Below are 18,034 nucleotides of genomic sequence, written 5' to 3'. Positions count from 1 at the left end.
TGGAAACAATGTTACTAATATTTGAAAAAATACAGATAAAAAGCAAATTTGGGCAAATATTTTTGTTGATTTTTTAAAGGAGGAACAGAAGATTCTAAAAATAATGACACTAAAATTGTAAAAAATTATGTTAAATATATGATATATGAGCACGTTGAAAAGATAGTAGCAACTTTTAAGAGCTAGTACATCTTTTTACCTAGAATGAGCTAGGCCAAATCAATCTCTCTCTCTCTCTCTCTCTCCCCCTCTCTTCTCCACTCCCTTTCTCTCTCTCTCTCTCCCTCCCTGCCTTCTAGCTCTGTCTTTTAGAAACAGTTATTCAGCTGGTAGATCAGTGAGACCATAAACATTATAAATTGATTTCAATAAGACATCTAACAAAAATCCCCCATGATATTGCTTTGCAACAAATAAAATAAATGAGATGCAATTCATAGCAGATCAATTAACTACATCAAAAAAATGTTGATCCATGAATCAATGTCCTTAAACCTACCCACAGGACTCTATCCTTGCCTCCAGACTGTTGAATAAAACCCAGAAATCTGTTCTAACAATAGGCTAAACCCAAAGACCCATAATATGCAAAACAAAGCAAAAGTACCCACTTAGATCTGAAAACTCAATTTCCCAAGCAAGGGATGGGAGAGTTTTGCTGGGCAGTCGCTTATATAAAAATAAAAGCCCAGAAAGCACTGGTTGACTCTGAGCTATGTTACAATAACACACGGCAGATGCCTGGCCTCCCTGGAAGTTGCCCCGCTCATACACAACTGTCTGCATGTCCTGGGTGGGATGCGGGATGAAATGTTTCTTCCAATCCTCAGGTTCCACGAGTCTAATATCAATATGAATTCCTGCCTGGTGACCTGTGTGAGTATTGCTCAACAACTGTAGAGGAAGAATTGCAGAAAACGAAGGCGATTACAAGTTTTTCTAAAGCCACTGATTTTATCACAAGCCACATACAGAAACCTTCCCAATATCTGCTAATTACCAAAAGGTAGTGATCCTCCAATATCTAGCAGTAGGACACACACCCCAGCTGACCAAACCATGAGTTTAAGACAGGCAGAAAAACCTAACATCTCCCTACCATGACAAAGGCAACTAGAATTGCCAAATCCTATACACAAAACATTTAATTTATAACAGTTAAAACCTGGCCTCTGACCAAGTCCAAAAGAACTATGTCTTATTTCACTTGCTCTTGAATATGTCTCTTTCAGAGATAAATGGCTCTGCTCTTGGCCAGTCCTCCCCTCTGTGTGGTGTTTTGTTTAGCTGGGCTTATGACAAGCCAAGAGTTGATGCATCTGCTTGAATGTGTAATTTACCTCTCTGGTCAACTTAGCTTTTTTTTCCTTGACAATATTATGTCAAACAATCACATCACAACTGGCTCTGATCTCTTTGTTGTTAGCTAATAAATTAAAGAGTATTTATTATCTGCAATCCTTTTTTCCTCTTTTAATGGTGACACATTTGTGGTGAATTACAGGGCAGCTTTATAAACTAGGCTCCAGGCCAGTCTCAGGCCCTGCGTCCATGTGAACGTTCCTTCTCCCGGTTGGCCTCCCGGACTGGTGGTAAATCAAGGCAGCTGTCACAGTACACTAAGTTAGTGTGCGTCATTGGGGAGAGCAGGAAGCGTTGGGGGTATAATTCTGTCCATCAAACTAATATGTTATATCAGTAGCTTTGTAATCTTCTGCCATAACTTATGGGAAGTGACACCTAAGAATTCACTTTGAAGGCAATGTGTTTCTTAGACTTTAAGTCAAAACAGACCCGATTCACAGCAACAGTTCCTCTGTTTACATGAGTGGATTTCTAGTGCCGGGGAACCAGGTCCCTATCAATGTGGCAGTATTTAACACGCTCCACCACCGGCTGGACTCTGTTTACAGCCCTCACGGCAGGATTTGTAAACTTTTCAAACAGGGTTTCTTCTCTTCTTGTTACCCTTGCCTTAACCTCCAGTAGCGGGATAGATAAACATGCTCCTTGAATGTTATCATGACAAAGCAAACCTCTGACAGATGGGAATGAATGGGTGACCCATTTCCCTTGTCCGGTCCCCTTCAACCTTTGTCTTGACAAATGTGGGAAATGGCTCTGGAGGACAGAAGAATACTCACACCGCTATGATAGCACTGTCAGCTTTGTGCTGTTGCTAAATGTCCACATGATACTTAGAAGCGACGGGAGGGCCGGGCGCGGTGGCTCACGCCTGTAATCCCAGCACTTTGGGAGGCCGAGGCGGGTGGATCATGAGGTCAGGAGATCGAGACCATCCTGGCTAACAAGGTGAAACCCCGTCTCTACTAAAAATACAAAAAATTAGCCGGGCGCGGTGGCGGGCGCCTGTAGTCCCAGCTACTCGGGAGGCTGAGGCAGGAGAATGGCGTGAACCCGGGAAGCGGAGCTTGCAGTGAGCCGAGATTGCGCCACTGCAGTCCGCAGTCCGGCCTGGGTGACAGAGCGAGACTCCGTCTCAAAAAAAAAAAAAAAAAAAAAAAAAAAAAAAAAAAAAGAAGCGACGGGAGATAACCTTCAATGGACAGTGTGCTTTTCTAAGTCATGATATCAGTGTGACCAGACTTAGACCATACGTCCTCTGAAAGCAATGCGTTATTTTCTAGGATTTGCTGTTGGATTGTCCCTGTCTTCCCCCACTCTCTCTTCCTTGGCTGTTTTTCTCAGCAGGCCAATGAGAGAAGCCCTTTGGGGAAGATTAAGTAGTTTTGTGAGCTGCCATCTGATGGAAAAGAAATCTACAAGAACTGTTCAAAGGAGCTCTTCCTCCCCCAGGCACAAGACTAAATATGCACAGTAAAGAAATTTGAAAAATGCCTGCCCTTGCCATCCCCAATACCCCTCTGATTGATAGCAGAGAGGGTTTGCTATGATAATTCTACTTTGACAGGTCCCAGGCATAAATCCCACAAAGTTGTTGCTCTAGTTTGACAACCTTGGAGGGCTCCAGTTAGGAACAGGAAACAGGCCTCTATTTTTCACCCTCAATGCTCCTTCAGGTGCAAAGAAAAGACTGTATGGAAAAAATAATTTCTTATCTAAGGGGGAAACCAAATTCAAAGCAGTTTTAATACTTATTCATCAGAAAGAATGTCCAATGGAGAAAAATGTGACCTCAGTCCTGCTTCTTCAAACTTAAATTGAAATGCTCCAAATACGAGATTTGAAACCTATTCATGATGAGAAACGGATACCCTTTTTTCATTTTTTGGTTTTCCAAAGTTATGTTAGTATTCTCCTTCAAGGTCAGCCTAGAAATGTATCATAATATTTTATAAAAATCATTACTTACAAATGAAAGTACATACATATCATAACATCCATAATTTATCATCAAAGCTTGCAATGTGCCACCCTCTGTATCCCATTATATCCACTCAATTCTCATAACCACCTTAAATGAGTAGAGTCTCAATTTATAGGAATGCAGTTAAAAAGAGAGTCAAACTAATGAATTTTTTCCAGGATACATCTTTCAATCTTGCTTCACAATATGCCAGGGGATCTTTGGGAATCAGTGCACCTTCCCTCTCCCCTTCTCCAGCTGAAGAATGATAACTCAGCAATGAGAACCTTAGTCATGAAATCATATTCAACTGTGTTAAATGAAAAATTTGTGGCCCAGTGAGGTGGCTCACACCTGTAATCCCAGCACTTTGGGAGGCCGAGGCAGGTGGATCACCTGATGTCAGGAGTTCAAGACCAAGGTGGCCAACATGGCGAAACCTCATCTCTACTAAAAATACAAACAAAATTAGCCAGGCGTGGTGGCACATGCCTGTAATCCCAGCTACCCAGGAGGCTGAGACAAGAGAATCACTTGAACCTGGGAGGCTGAAGTTGCAGTGAGCTAAGATCATGCCATTGCACTCCAGCCTGGGCAACAAGAGTGAAACTGTCTCAAAAAATAAATAAATACATAAATAAATAATTTGTGGTTTGCTGTAAGTTAACTAGGCAAATAAATTAAACAGAACCATTCTCCAAGCATTTTAGTCGATCTACCTGGAAATGCAGTATTGTGACCTATTAAAAAATATTAAGTGATCAAACCCAGGCAAATATTTAAAAAGAAGCAATATTTTCTGTTTCTTTAAAACTTGTCAGAAGGTGAATATTTTCCTTCCAATGTCTGCCTCTTTGAATGTGAGACACAGTTTTCTCTTGGCTGTAGGATTCCATTCTAATATTAAGAAAGGGTTCATAAAGCTCTGATACCATAAGAGTGGATTCCTCTTCCTTCATGGGTGCCATCGGAGTTCTGCAGAAGGTCTGCACCTACTGAGAGCTGACGACAACAGGGAAGAAAGAATCCAGTCTTGGAACACTCAGCAAAAGTTGGTTCTTTAATTTAATAGGACTAAAACACAAGGACTTCACCCTGGATCATGAATTGAACCTCCTTTTCTAGGGTATTTTATGACAGAAGCATCTCACTGAGAATCTAGCCACCCGCTAGGAGTACTCAAGCATAGCTTTGCCAAGAAAGTCGGTGAGGAAAGCAAGAATAGAAAACAGCAAGCTGCCCATAAAAATGGGGAGTAATATCTGAGTTTTTTTAAGTCATAGAGCAGCTTGAGCAAATCTCAAGAAAAAGAAACTTGCTACATAATTCTTTCTCACTCCATTGCCCCTCTAAATAGCAAACAGGATATGAGTCCTTGTAAATACCTATAAATTTTCAGGGAGAAAAACAAGTCTGATCTTTGTGTACAGAGTTCTAGGCTGTAAGGAACATGGTTAGATTTCTGTTTCCCTTAGAGGAAGATGCCAGAACAGCATTTTCCCATCAAGTGTTGATAAGAAAGGCATTTAGCATTTCATAGGATGAGGCTGCTGTAAGTGGGTGGTATGACATGATAAATTATGGCCAATGTCATATTAATAATTACAGGCCCTTCCACACATGCTCACTCTGTTCTCAAGCCAATGATATGTTATCCTGCACAAAGCCTTCCGCTGTGGCAGATGTGATAGAGATGTTCCTCTCCCAGAAAAATTCTGGAATTCTTCAAGGTTTAGAGGTGAGGGCCATCTTTGTGGTCCATAAGCAAAAACTAAACTGAACTCATACTTTCTGCAAATGTAGCTCTGCTTACGTCTGACTTTCCACCTTGATCCATGTCCTTCCCTCCGGTATTCAATCTACTTCTCTGCAATATAAGCACAAAATCTGGGGCTAGGAAGGCATTTTAAAATTAGAAAATCATCTTTATCCAACCCTAAAGAGGCATGTCTTAGGATGTTAAGAAATGTTTTTGACGGACTCTTCAGAGACTCCCAAAGAGAGAACTTGCTCTTGAAGAAGATGAGGCTAGGGTTGGAGTCTGGTGAAGTATTGCCTAGATATGTTAAGGAACTCTGTAAAACCTGACATGAAGTCAACAATTGCCCAGATCAGGGTATCTCAACCTCAACACTATCAATATTTCAGACTTGATCATTCTTGGTTGTGGGGACTGTCCTGTGCATGGTAGGATGTTCGGCAGCATCCCTAGCCTATATCTACTACATGCCAGTAGCATACTCCTGCCCTGGGGGTACAAAAATTAAAAATGTATCCAGACATTATTAAATGACTCTTGGGAGTCAAAATAGCTCCCAATTGAGAGCCACTGTCCTGGACTATTGGGGTAAGATCATTCCACTGAATCTCTGCAGGCCACACGTTTTCCAATGAAGACGGCTGGATTCACGAGCATATATGGACACCTGTGTCCTTTCCCCATTATTTGAGAAAACATGATAGGACTGCATATAACAATACCCTTCCACTTGGACTTTTTAGCAAAAATGCAGGTACCTTCACTGTTGGTCCAGGGAGTCTCTGCTGGGATGACTTTTGTCTGCTCCAAATATTCTCAACCTCCGGAAGGCACTCCAATCTCTTTACATGGCAGTCTTAGGGTGTCAAGAAGAGGGTAGGACCCCACATGCAAATGCTTTCTAAGCCTCTGATACATCATGTTTGCTAACGCCCTACTGACCAGAACAAGTCACAAGGTCAAGCCCCCATTCAAGAGGTGGGTAGAGAAACTCTACTCTTGATAGGAGGAATATTACAGACACCTTGCTGGGTTGGGTTGCGGGAGGCAGGGGGGATTCATGCATACAGGGATAGAATAAAAGTGGCCATTTTTAACAATCTATCACACTAGGTGAATGGATTTCATAGCAAGTACTTTTCTAGCCAGAGTATTCCAGTTTTATCCGCAGCTGAATCTCTCAAAAGGATCTATAATTATTTTCCAAATAGCAAATGTGTTTGGTTGTCACAGAGGCCCTGGGCTCTGAAATGGCTTGCTCAGTCCCCTTCAACTAAGCTCACTCCATAGGGTTTCATGGTTAATAGCCAGACTACCTCGCCCAATGTTAAGGATGTTGCCTCAAATTCTGAGAAACCCCAAGACTCCCTCACTTTTCTCCATGCCTTAAAGACAGAAAAATCCAGCTTTCAGTACAGCATTGTGGAGAAATATCAAACTAGAAATCAGAAAATGTAGTTTTGTATTTTAACCCCATAAACAGTCATCTATTTAAGTCACTTTATTCTCTTCAACTCACAATTTCTTGATATGCAACTCTGGGTAGTTAAGCTATTCTGGGATAGCTGGGGCAAGAGTGAAGGAGTGAGGGACAGAGGAGGTAAGACAAGATCGTCACTGGAATGAGTGAAGCTGGCTGGTATAAAAGAACCTGGAGAATACATGCTCTGTTAATGGCATTTAAATCCATTGTTTTCACTTAAAATATGTTAGCCCAGGATCTGACTGCAATCTGTGACTAGTTACTCTCCAAGACCTGACCTGGCTCTGCCATTTGTAGCCTCTCCCCTTTTGTATCCCCTCATCCCTTAGCAGCACCCATCTTTGTTATGCAGTTATCCAGTCCACCTGGTCTTTCAGGACAAGGGACACTTGTGTGCAATGCAAAGACAGAGCACAGGCACTGGTCTCTTCCTTCAAGCCATCTTGTTTCAATCCCACACACCCTTTAAAGTGGGATTGCAGTTGACAAAGCTCTTGCTTTTACATGAGCAATGCCAGTTGGACTAATCCAGGGCCGTAATTCTGCTGTACTCACTCCTATCTGTGCTTCAAGAAAGGTTGCAGGACCTAACACTCTCAGACCCTATTACTGTCCCACAGTCAGGTGTGGATTCGTACGGCTTTCCCTGCACCCCTGGTTCCAAGCACTTGCTTGCCCCAGGGAAGACATGCTCCAAAAATATCTGCCTTCTAATGACCCCTCCATTTTAGAGAGAATTCTCAGGAGATTAGAATGCAGAAGAAAACAGGTTGTTAGCCATGAGACATGAGAGGAGGTGTGGGAAAAGCCCTGCAATTACTGCAAGGTCCTACCATGAGGTGGTAAGAACCTGCGTTAGAAACCTGATCTCTGATATGACCACAAGGCTATTTCCATACAGGCTTTTTGAGTTTCATTTCCTCCCTTCAGTCCGCCAGGACCATTTCAGACCAAACTCACCCCTCCTAATGAGCCTACAGTGGGCCTTGGGTTCCCTTATTTGATGACAAATAACACCAGCAGTAGTACCGCGTGGAACCAGTTGGGCTGGATTGGAATCCTGGCTCACTGCTGGAAGCCCAAAGGCTGTGAACTTTGGTAGAGTTTCCAACTCTCTTATGTCTCAGCTTCCTCGTCAATGAAATATGGACATGGGATCATGGTGACAATTGAGAAAACAATTGTAGAGTCTTTAGTATGTGGCATATACCGTGTAATACATGTTAGCTGCTAGTATCGTATCTCTAATTTTTATATTGTTGATAAAATTGTTAACTTGTCATAGGTATTCCCTTTATGTTAGTTTTATTTGTCTAATTAGATAATATGTTCAAGAATAAGAATGATACATAGTTGTCTTTATCCCCATCCTCCCCTCCTCCACTGCTACTTTCCATCAGTCTGGTGTATTGTATACAATGCATGCCCAGAGCTGTCATAGTATAAGGGCAGGATGCCAAGGCAAATAAAACACAGGCCCTCACACAGACATGTGTTCAATTCCTGGCTCTGCTTCTTAATAATTTAGTGACTTTATCCAACTTACCTAACACCTCCAAGCCTCAGGTTTATAATGTATAAAATGTGGGTAAAGTGATTGCCCCATAAGATGGCTGTGAATACAGATCCTTCCCAGTAGGGAGCTCATCATAGGCATTTAAAAATGTCTATTTCCTTCCCTTTCCTTCCCTCTCACCATCAATGAATTGATCAGAATGTGCTCGGAGACATAGGGAAATGTACATGGAAGCTGACCTCAACATAACAGACAATGGGAAGAGGGCTAATGTCCCAAAAACAAACACCACTACCTTATAACAGGGCCATGTCCCCAGGCACTCCCCTGCCTACTTATTCCCAGGCACTGGATTTTCAATGCCATTTAGAGATGGCAAAACTGTCATTAACACAGGATCCTCAATAGGACCAGGCAGTGGAGGTCTCAAGTCTTTAAAACATCTCTAGTTCTCCCCTGGATGACGGATGAAGCCCTGGATGATATATATAAGAGAACATCCAATATTTTTTAAAATTTTCTTCCCTTGTTGCCTTCCTGTGATTCTCCTCTCCCCAGCAAGCATGCCAAACAAAATACATGTGCTACATGGGTGGACACTGACCTCATGGGGATCACTGTGAATTTTCATGGAACCATTGAATGCTAGTACTGAGATGTACGGCTCCAACAACCTCACTGTGAAGTTGAAGCCTCAGAGAAGTTAAATGACTGGCTCAAAGTCACACAGCTAATCAAGGACAGAAATGAAGCCAGACCCTAGCTCTGCTAGCTCTTGACCAGTGTTCTTTTTCTCATCGTTCTCATGCCTCAGAAGAATACATGGTTCTGAAAACATTTATTAAATCAGCCATGCTCTAAATTCCCACACTGACTTCCCCAGCCTGCATTTGGTGGGATGTAATCAATCACGACTTTCTAGGCCTAAAATCAATGAACTAAAGACATCAAGCAAAAAGCCATTTACATTGGCTTCTTTCTGCAGCCCAGAGTATTATACGCACTCCCCTCCCATGTGTTGTCTCTTCTCCATGGCTGGGAATGTACCCTGAGACCTCCTTGTGTGAAGGAAACAGACCCCAGCTGGCCAGCCACACTGCAGCTACAATGTGGACTTCAGCTGCTTCTCTATAGGGCTGCATTCAATGAACTGCATTTGAAAAACTTTTAATATCTACATGGCTCTCACCCAACTGCCGCAAAAACACCAGCTGTACCATGCTTTCTCCTCTAATTTGACAGTCCTAAGAACAGCTCCTGAAGAATGGAACATTCTTCAGGGGAGGGCTGTTAGTTTTGCAGACATTTTAGGAGGCGTAGAAGATGAAAAAGATTTCAAGTTGAAACATCATGTAGGAAAATGGGTAGGAGGTGATGGGAGAAGGAATCTGATGTGTACTGAATGCCTGTCATGTACCAGGCACTGAGTTGGGTGAGCTTTCACGGTCCTCACGATACTGAGAGACAAGTGTAATAACCCAACTTTTACAGATGAGAAAACTGAGGTTTGTAAAGATTAAGAGTCTAGCCCAAAGTCATATAAGCAATTTATTATAAAACTGGTATATTTGTTTCCCAGGGATCTTGCACCAAACTACCATAAACTTGGTGGCTTAAAACAACAGAAATCTATTCCCTAATAGCTCTACATAAGTCCAGCCTCTACCTCCATCTTCATATCTCTTCTCCATTAATCTCTCCTCTGGGTGTCTATTCCAAGGACACTTGTCATTCGATTTATAGCCCCCCTGGATTATCCAGGATGATCTTTTCTTGAGATCCTTAGCTACATCTTCAACAACTCATTTTCCACTGAAGGTCACATTCACAGGTCCCAGGGATAGGATGGAGCGATATATTTTGGGGGGGCTACCACTCAACCCACTATGGCAAAGTTTTCATCTCAGGCCTGTCTTACTCCACAGCTCATTTTCTCACTACGTTGTCAGATTATTTCCTGCCCTTTCCTTTATCTGCTTTCTCAAGGATGACTTTGGCCAAGTTAAAGGTTCCAAGGTAGCCACAGCCACAGTACAGAGAAACACAGCCCCTGAATTTGTTATCCAGAAAGTTTGTGACCAAGTGGAAGCTTAAGTTCCCCTTATACCTTGCTCTTCCTCTAAAAATCAACAGGGAGAACTGCCTTAAATACCGTGCCATTGCTTCTAAACATCAAATGATTGACTCCTTTGTATAGCTCAGCCCTCCTTTTGCAAGAGTAAAATAGCTAGCTGGTGTCGACGTAAGCTACAGCCACCCACTAATAAGTTTAAGATAAAAGGCCAATATATTTAAATAAGATTCAGACATAATGTAATAGTATTTGTTACCAAGCCCCATCTAATTATATCAATCTTTTATTACCAGACCCATGAGTACAGGGAACTCTATTATAATTTCTCTTTATAATGATCTCTTCACTATCTGACTCCTCGAACTCTGTAGTAAATTACTCATCCACTGGCAATCATGAGTAAACATCAACTCAATTAAGAATTGATAAATAAACAGTTCACTCCGAGGCTTGTCGTGATACGGACGGGAGAATCACTGGGTGCCTGCCAGCATGAGCTTGGCTGGGAAGTTCTGAGGTGTGGATGGGTTCTCTAAGGCTGTACTGCTTCTGCTGTTTATACGAGATGTTCTGGCTGATGTTTCCTGCTCCTATCCTGTCTTTGGAGGTGGAGAACGACTTATTCAAGTGTCTGCTCTGGGTCTAAACGTGGAAGAGCTGCTCATCTTATCCTCACTCTGCACTACATAGCATCTCATATCTGAGAGAAAACCAGTAGGAAAACAGTAAAATGCAAGAAATGTGGCATAACAATAAAGTACAAGGAACCCTTCTATATGTCAAGATGTAGGACAACTCGGTGTTGTATGGTTACACAATTGTTATGGGTTGAGTTGTATCCCCCAGAAAGATATGTTGAGTCCTAAACCCCAGTACCTCAGAATGTCAGCTTATTTGGAAATAAAGACATTGCAGATGTAATGAGTTAAGATGAGGTCATGCTGGAGTAGGGTTGGCCCTTAACTCAATATGGCTGGTATCTTTCTAAGAGGACAATGTGAACATGTAGAGAGGAGAACACCATGTGAAGAGACAGAAGGAAAAGATGGGCATGTGGTGACAAAAGCAGATATTGGCACGATGCATCTATAAGTGATAGCACACCAGGGATTGCCAGCTACCACCAGAAGTGGGGAAGAGGCAAGAGAGGATTCTACCCAGAGTCTTTGGAGGAGCCTGGGCCCACTGGCACCTTTATTTCCCATTTCTGGCTTCCAGAACTATGAGAGAATAAATTTCTGTTGTTCTTAAGCCACCCACGTTGTGATACTTTGTTATGGCAATCCTAACAAACCAATGCAATAGTCAGTAGTCCTGGTGACTCAGGAGGCTGAGGTGAGAAGATCACTTGAGTCCAGGAGTTCTGGGCTGTAGTGAGCTATGCTGATTGGGTGTCCACACTAAGTTCAGCATCAATATGGTGACCTCCCAGGAGCAGGGAACCACCAGGTTGACTAAGGAGGAGTGATCCAGCCCAGGTCAGAAATGGAGCAGGTCAAAACTCCTGTGCTGATCAGCAGTGGGATCTCACCTGTGAATAGCCACTGCACTACAGCCTGGGCAACATAACAATACTCTGTCTCTTAAAAAAAAATTATTACAATAAGAATAATCAAGCCAGCATTTATTAAGCACTGTTATACAGCCAAAACTATGCCAAGTATTTTATAGGCATTAGCATAATGAATCTTCACAACCATCCTGTGAGGTTAGTACTCTTATTCTCACTTTACAGATAAGGAAGCAATGTTGACTGTGGCCAACAGCCCCAAAGTCATGAAGCTGGTGAGTGGCTACCCTCTCTGTACTACAGGCATACCCTTCAGTCTCCAGGACCCCACATTGTAAGCCTGGTGAGGATGGGGGTCAGGCAGTGTTATTCACCAGGGCATTCCCCAATTGTACTGCTGGAGCCCAAGGGCTCCTCTGCTACAGGTACAGAGGATGAAGGGAATCCTGTGCCTGCAGGGGACCCTCAGCCTCCCACTTCCGCTGCATCTGGAAACACTTCATATTCCCATTTCATACAGTCAATGCCCACAGAAACTATGTTTCAAACCAAGTTATCTGCTGTGAGAAAAAAAAGATTTCAAGCAATTACTATATGGAAGAAAATCCTTCATGGCAGAATTCCAGGTAATAAATACAAAGGGATGATAAAATTAGAAAATTATTCTCCCACCTGTAATGAAATAATGGACTTAGGTCACCATCATCAAAAGATGCTCAAACATTAGGTAAAAGGTTGGTTGGGAACCTTACAATGGAAGACTCCAGCTGATTCTTTCAGTGGAAGAACCATCTGAACCTACTGATAAGATACAGTTTTATTTTTAATTTTTTATTTCAATAGGATTTGGGGGAACAGGTGGTGTTTGGTTACATGAATAAGGTCTTTAGTAGTGATTTCTGAGATTTTGGTGCACCCATCACCTGCAAAGTGTACACTGTACCTAATTTGTAGTCTTTTATCCCTCACCACCCACCCACCTTTCCCCCAAGACCCCAAAGTCCATTATATCATTCTTATACCTTTGCATTCTCATAACTTAGCTCCCATTTATGAGTGATAACATATGATGTTTGGTTTTCCATTCCTGAGTTACTTCATTTAGAATAATGGTCTCCAGTTCCATCCAGGTTGCTGCAAATGCCATTATTTCATTCCTTTTTATGGCTAAGTAGTATTCCATGGGGTGTGTGTGTATGTATGTGTGTATGTGTGTGTGTGCGTATATATATATGTATATATATATATACACACATATATATGTATGTGTATATATATACATATATATGTGTATCTATCTATCTATCTATCTATCTATCTATCTATCTATCTCACATTTTCTTTATCCACTCATTGATTAATGGGCATTTGGGCTGGTTCCATATTATGCAATTGCAAGTTATGCTGCCATAAACATGCATGTTCAAGTATCATTTTCATATAATGAGTTATTTTCCTCTGGGTAGATACCCAGGAGTGGGATTGCTGGATCAAATGGTAGATCTACTTTTAGTTCTTTAAGGAATCTCCACAGTTTTCCATAGTGGTTGTACTAGTTTACATTATCACCAACAATGTAAAAGTGTTCCCTTTTCACCACATCCATGCCAACATATATAAATATAACATATATATAATATATAACATGTATATATTATATATAACATATATATACACAAATATATATATTACATATATTTATTATTATGGCCCTTCTTGCGGGAGTAAGGTGGTGAATGAGAACATATGATGTTTGGTTTTCCATTCCTGAGTTACTTCACTTAGAATAATGGTCTCCAATTCCATCCAGGTTGCTGCAAATGCCATTATTTCATTCCTTTTTATAGTTAAGTAGTATTCTATGGTGTGCGTATGTGTGTGTGTGGTGTGTGTGTGTGTGTGGTGTGTGTGTGTGTATGCGATTTTGATTTGCATTTCCTTGATAATTAGTGATGTTGAGCATTTTTTTCATATGTTGGCCATTTGTATATCTTTTTTGAGAATTGTCTATACATGTCCTTAGTCCACTTTTTGATGGGATTGTTTTTGTTTTTATTTTTAAAAATTTCCCGGCTATATTGAGATATAATTAACCAATAAAACTGTATATAGTGTTTAAGGTGTACAATGTAATAATTCGACATATGCTTGTGTATGTATATATACATTATATATAAGTATATATACATAAAATGTAATGATTAGCACAATCAAATTAATTAACACACCCATCACCTCACAGAGTTACCATGATCAGATATTAATTATGCATCTCAGGAGGTAATGCAATAGGAAGTATACAGCACCATATACAAAAAAAAATGAATTTGAATTCAAACAAGTTATTGATCTGACACCAGATTATAGAAAGTACAGAGGATAGAGGAACAAGTTAGATGGCATGGCAAGGAGGCAACCAGCCAAAGCAGAATGTGGGTCATTGCCCAGGATAACTCATTCAATTCCTCAAAAATATCAATGCATAATAGAGAGAGAGAGACAGAGAGAGAAACAGAGAGCATAAGAGACAAAGAGAAGATGAAAAAGGAGAAGGGGAGGGAGATGATTAAAGACTAAAAAAGATCAAAGGGATACAGCAACGCAATAAAAGGTATGGGCTGTGTTTGGACACTGAATCAAACGAACTGGATACAAAAAGATATTTTTGAGACAACTGGGAAAATTAGAATATGGACTGGGTATTGAAAAGCCCTATGGAATTATTATTCTTTTTTTAGTTGTGATAATGACATGGTGACCATGTTTAAGGGTAAATGTTCCTTATTGGTTAGAGAAGCCTAATGCAGTGTGTAGAAATGACCTGATGTCTGGGCTGAGGTTAGGATTGGGGGAGAAGGACCAGAAAGATCAGGGCCTCTCCCCTGAGACCCAAGCAAGCAGCTGGCCACCCCCTATCACCCAAATTGACTATCTAGGGAGTGAACCATGCTCCCTCTGCACAGGGCTGACAGTTTGGGGTATTTCTTTAAAATGCCTAAAATTTGTACGTCACCAAGGCAAGGCATGAGGCAGGAAAATTTGCCAACATGGCCCCCTGGGAGTTGGCCTGGTTGATCCATCTCACCCCCTTCCTTTCCCATAATACCTGTTCACTCAATTCATAGCTAAGATTGCCACCAATATTATTACAAAATCAATAAGGAGAACATATATCTCTGTGTTTCTGTGTTTATGACTGTGGCACCCTCAGCCATGTCCTTCCTGCCAAGTGTGTAAGGGTGCCGTCGCCATCACACACTCTTCTTTATGGGATATGTGATCAAATTAAAAAAAAAAAGAAACAACTTTTGGAAAATCCTTAAAATAGTATGCATTCAATAAATGTTAGCTATTATCATCATCATCACAATTATTATTATTACATTGTTGATGTTGTCCGTGTTTGTCATCGAACATTATCTGTGTGTTCCCTTTGTGTTAGCTTTATTTATCCAATTAGGGACGTTAGGAAAGTCAGCTCAAAATCAAGTATATCCTTATGTGTTTCTACCTGCTGCCCTTCCCCTCCTGCATGCCCACATGGGACATGCCCTGTAAATAACAGATATGCAATAGACACCTGAGGAGAAGACCCCTGGGTAGAGAAGATGGGAGGGCGGGGGGGTCCTTATTCCTTCAATGTAAGGGCAACAGAGTCTGGGGAACAAAGATGAGTATTACAGGCAACAGACTTCAGTTAAATTCGTGGCTCTGTCACTTAATAAGTCATGAACTTGGCCATCTTGCTAAAAGTCTTTTATCCTCAGTTTCCTAATAAGTAAATAGAGGACCAAATTGCCTGCGTCATTAGGCTGTGAGGACATAGCTAAAGTCTAACTCAACCCCGGCTCACCACAAGCACCATGTGCCATGGCAATCTCTGAGTTTCTCTCTTCCCCTCTAGAACAAGGATGGGGACTATTTATTAGGCCTCTCTGAATATTAACTGGAAGAGGATATACAAAGACCTCGCGTAGAGGAGACACATAATGAATATGCACTCTTAGCCAGGTGCCGTGGCTCATGCCTATAATCCCAGCAGTTTGGGAGGCCAAGGAGGGTGGATCACCTGAGGTCAGGAGTTCAAGACCAGCCTGGCCAATATGGCAAAACCCCATCTCTACTAAAAACACAAAAATTAGCCAGGCGTGGTGGCACGTGCTTGTAATCCCAGCTACTTAGGAGGCTGAGGCAGCAGAATTGCTTGAACCCAGGGGCAGAGGTTGCAGTGAGCCAAGATCACATCATTGCACTCCAGCCTGGGCAACAGAGCAAGACTCCATCTTAAAAAAAAAAAAAAAAAAAAAAAAGCACTCTTGTCCCTTTAAATAGAAAGTTTTCAAATTTAGGTTGCAATCACAGGAAGCTTCCCTGGAGTCCCTATGGCTGCGCTTTCTGGGATCCTCCCAGCCCTGCCACTGAAAGCAGGAATTGCCAACAACTGATCTCAGGGCTGGGGAAATTGCTTGCTGCTCCCACTTTGAAAAAGACAACATTGCAAAGACAAAGAAAGGTTCAACATTCCAAGAGCATGTCAGCAAAAGCCACCAAAGTCACAGGAGAAAGGGAAAAGATCAACATACAGTATTTTAAGTTTTCCTTATGTTCTCTTAGTGTAATCAGCTCTAATCTACATCTTATCACTGATTACTGATAACCTTGGGTCACTAAATTCCCTTCTCTGGGCCTCAGTTCCTCATCTGTAAAACCAAAAATGTTCTTAACCTAAGCCTTGTACACCTATAGAATTTAGAGGTCTGTGAATTTTGGTGGGAAAAATTATTTTTATGTATAATTATCTACACATGTATTTTTGTATAATATCTGACATATATAAAAATATAGTTTTATTTTCAGTAATGTTTATGGGGAACTTAACATTTTCTTTCTTTCTGTTTTTGCTATTTTTTAAGAGACAGGGTCTCCCTCTGTTGCCCAGGCTCGAATGCAGTAGTGCAGTCATAGCTCACTGCAATCTCCAACTCCAAGACTCAAGCAATCCTCTGGCCTCAGCCCCATTTTCTTTTATTATAAATGTAGGCAACAAAATGACTGGAGTTTAAGGAGTATCTGTGACTTTATCATTGATAAAAAATCAGGTATTTTCATGTCACATTATTGCAGAAATCCAAAACACTGTTTATGCTTATCAACACTTTGAAATTATAGTAGATGTTAGCATAGCTTTGAAATTATAGTTGCTGCTGGCTGTAAGCACATAAATTACTAAGTCATAAATTTTATTTTTAAATATTTTGATAACAGTATTTCAATATACTACATTTGCTTTGTAACCCTTTGTACTTTATTTTGTGCACTTAGAAAACATTAATCAGAGAAGAAGTCTAAGGGCTTGTGACCATAATAGGTTTGCTGCCTGATGTTCATGGCAAGTCAATACACCAAGATGCTGGGTTGCAGCAGAAAAAGAAGTTTGGTCATAGGCCACTAAACGAGGAGACAGAAGGAAACCTCAAATCCATCTCCCCAAGGAGTTTGGGGCTAGGGTTTTTAAAGGTCTGGGAGCGGGCCAAAGTGTGGAGACCATTGATTGGTTAAAGAGTGCAGAGTAAGTCATGGGACAGGGAGATGAAGAAACCATTCTCATGCTGATTCAGTTCCTCTGTTGGGGTCTTCAAAATGGTTAGCATTAGCTGTTCCACTGGAATTCAGAATCTGCATCTGCAATTCTCAAACATAAACCTTATGATTGTAGTGTCAGAGATCCTATCTATCTTAAAAGCCTGATGTAACTCCAGAAATCCTGTCTATAGGAACAATGGGGATGCAAATAGTCAGGATCTGGTGTTACCTGACTTTCAGTTACAAGGAACTGGGTCAAAGTGCAGCCTGCTTAATTAATGCTTAATTATAACTACATTTCTGTCCAGAATTCTTGTTAACCCTGTGAGGATGGCATCAGGCTTTCCTAGAGATCTAGCTAGACTGTCTGGGTTCTAACCTGCCTCTGCCCCTCCCTTGCTATGTGACCTTGAACAATATATTTGGCCTGAGGCTAAGTTCACTCGTTTTAGAAAATGGATCATCCCATCGACTTCTTTGGGATGGTTATTGGAGGTCATTTTTTGGGCTCGCCAAACAGAATGTACCACCCCAAACTATATTTCTTTGGCATATTTCGAGCTGGTTACTCTGAGGAACTGCACACACGGAAGTAGCTCTGAAAACTTGTCCTTTTGTAAAAGAAACTTACATCTGTAAAGGAAATCTACATTAGTAAACTATCTGGATCAGAAAAAGTCTGCTAGCTGCAGAAAACTGTTATGACCTGAGAGTCTTTTAATCTGTATAAGAAGACAACCCTTATTCGTCATACAGTTTCTAACCCCATCTTCCCAAAACT

General features: G+C 41.2%; 1 protein-coding gene and 1 pseudogene across 3 annotated transcripts in view, besides 1 other annotated feature; one reads left to right on the top strand and one right to left on the bottom strand.

Moving 5' to 3' along the window:
* LRMDA (leucine rich melanocyte differentiation associated) overlaps positions 1-18,034 on the bottom strand; it is a 1,128,545-nt gene that overhangs the window by 306,403 nt on the left and 804,108 nt on the right. The gene's annotated exons all lie outside the window — the stretch shown is intronic.
* Positions 1,501-1,795: a silencer, noted in NCBI's record as "tiled region #15163; K562 Repressive non-DNase unmatched - State 24:Quies". NCBI's record gives its function as "represses a minimal TATA promoter and a strong SV40 promoter by Sharpr-MPRA in K562 cells {active_cell/tissue: K562}" and the evidence as "EXISTENCE:reporter gene assay evidence [ECO:0000049][PMID:27701403]".
* Positions 11,469-11,744, top strand: RN7SL518P (RNA, 7SL, cytoplasmic 518, pseudogene; annotated as a pseudogene).

Source organism: Homo sapiens, chromosome 10, assembly GCF_000001405.40.
Source record: "Homo sapiens chromosome 10, GRCh38.p14 Primary Assembly".
Taxonomy (NCBI): domain Eukaryota; kingdom Metazoa; phylum Chordata; class Mammalia; order Primates; family Hominidae; genus Homo; species Homo sapiens.
Note: the sequence above shows the minus strand (reverse complement) of the source record. Positions and strands in the feature narration are given on the sequence as shown.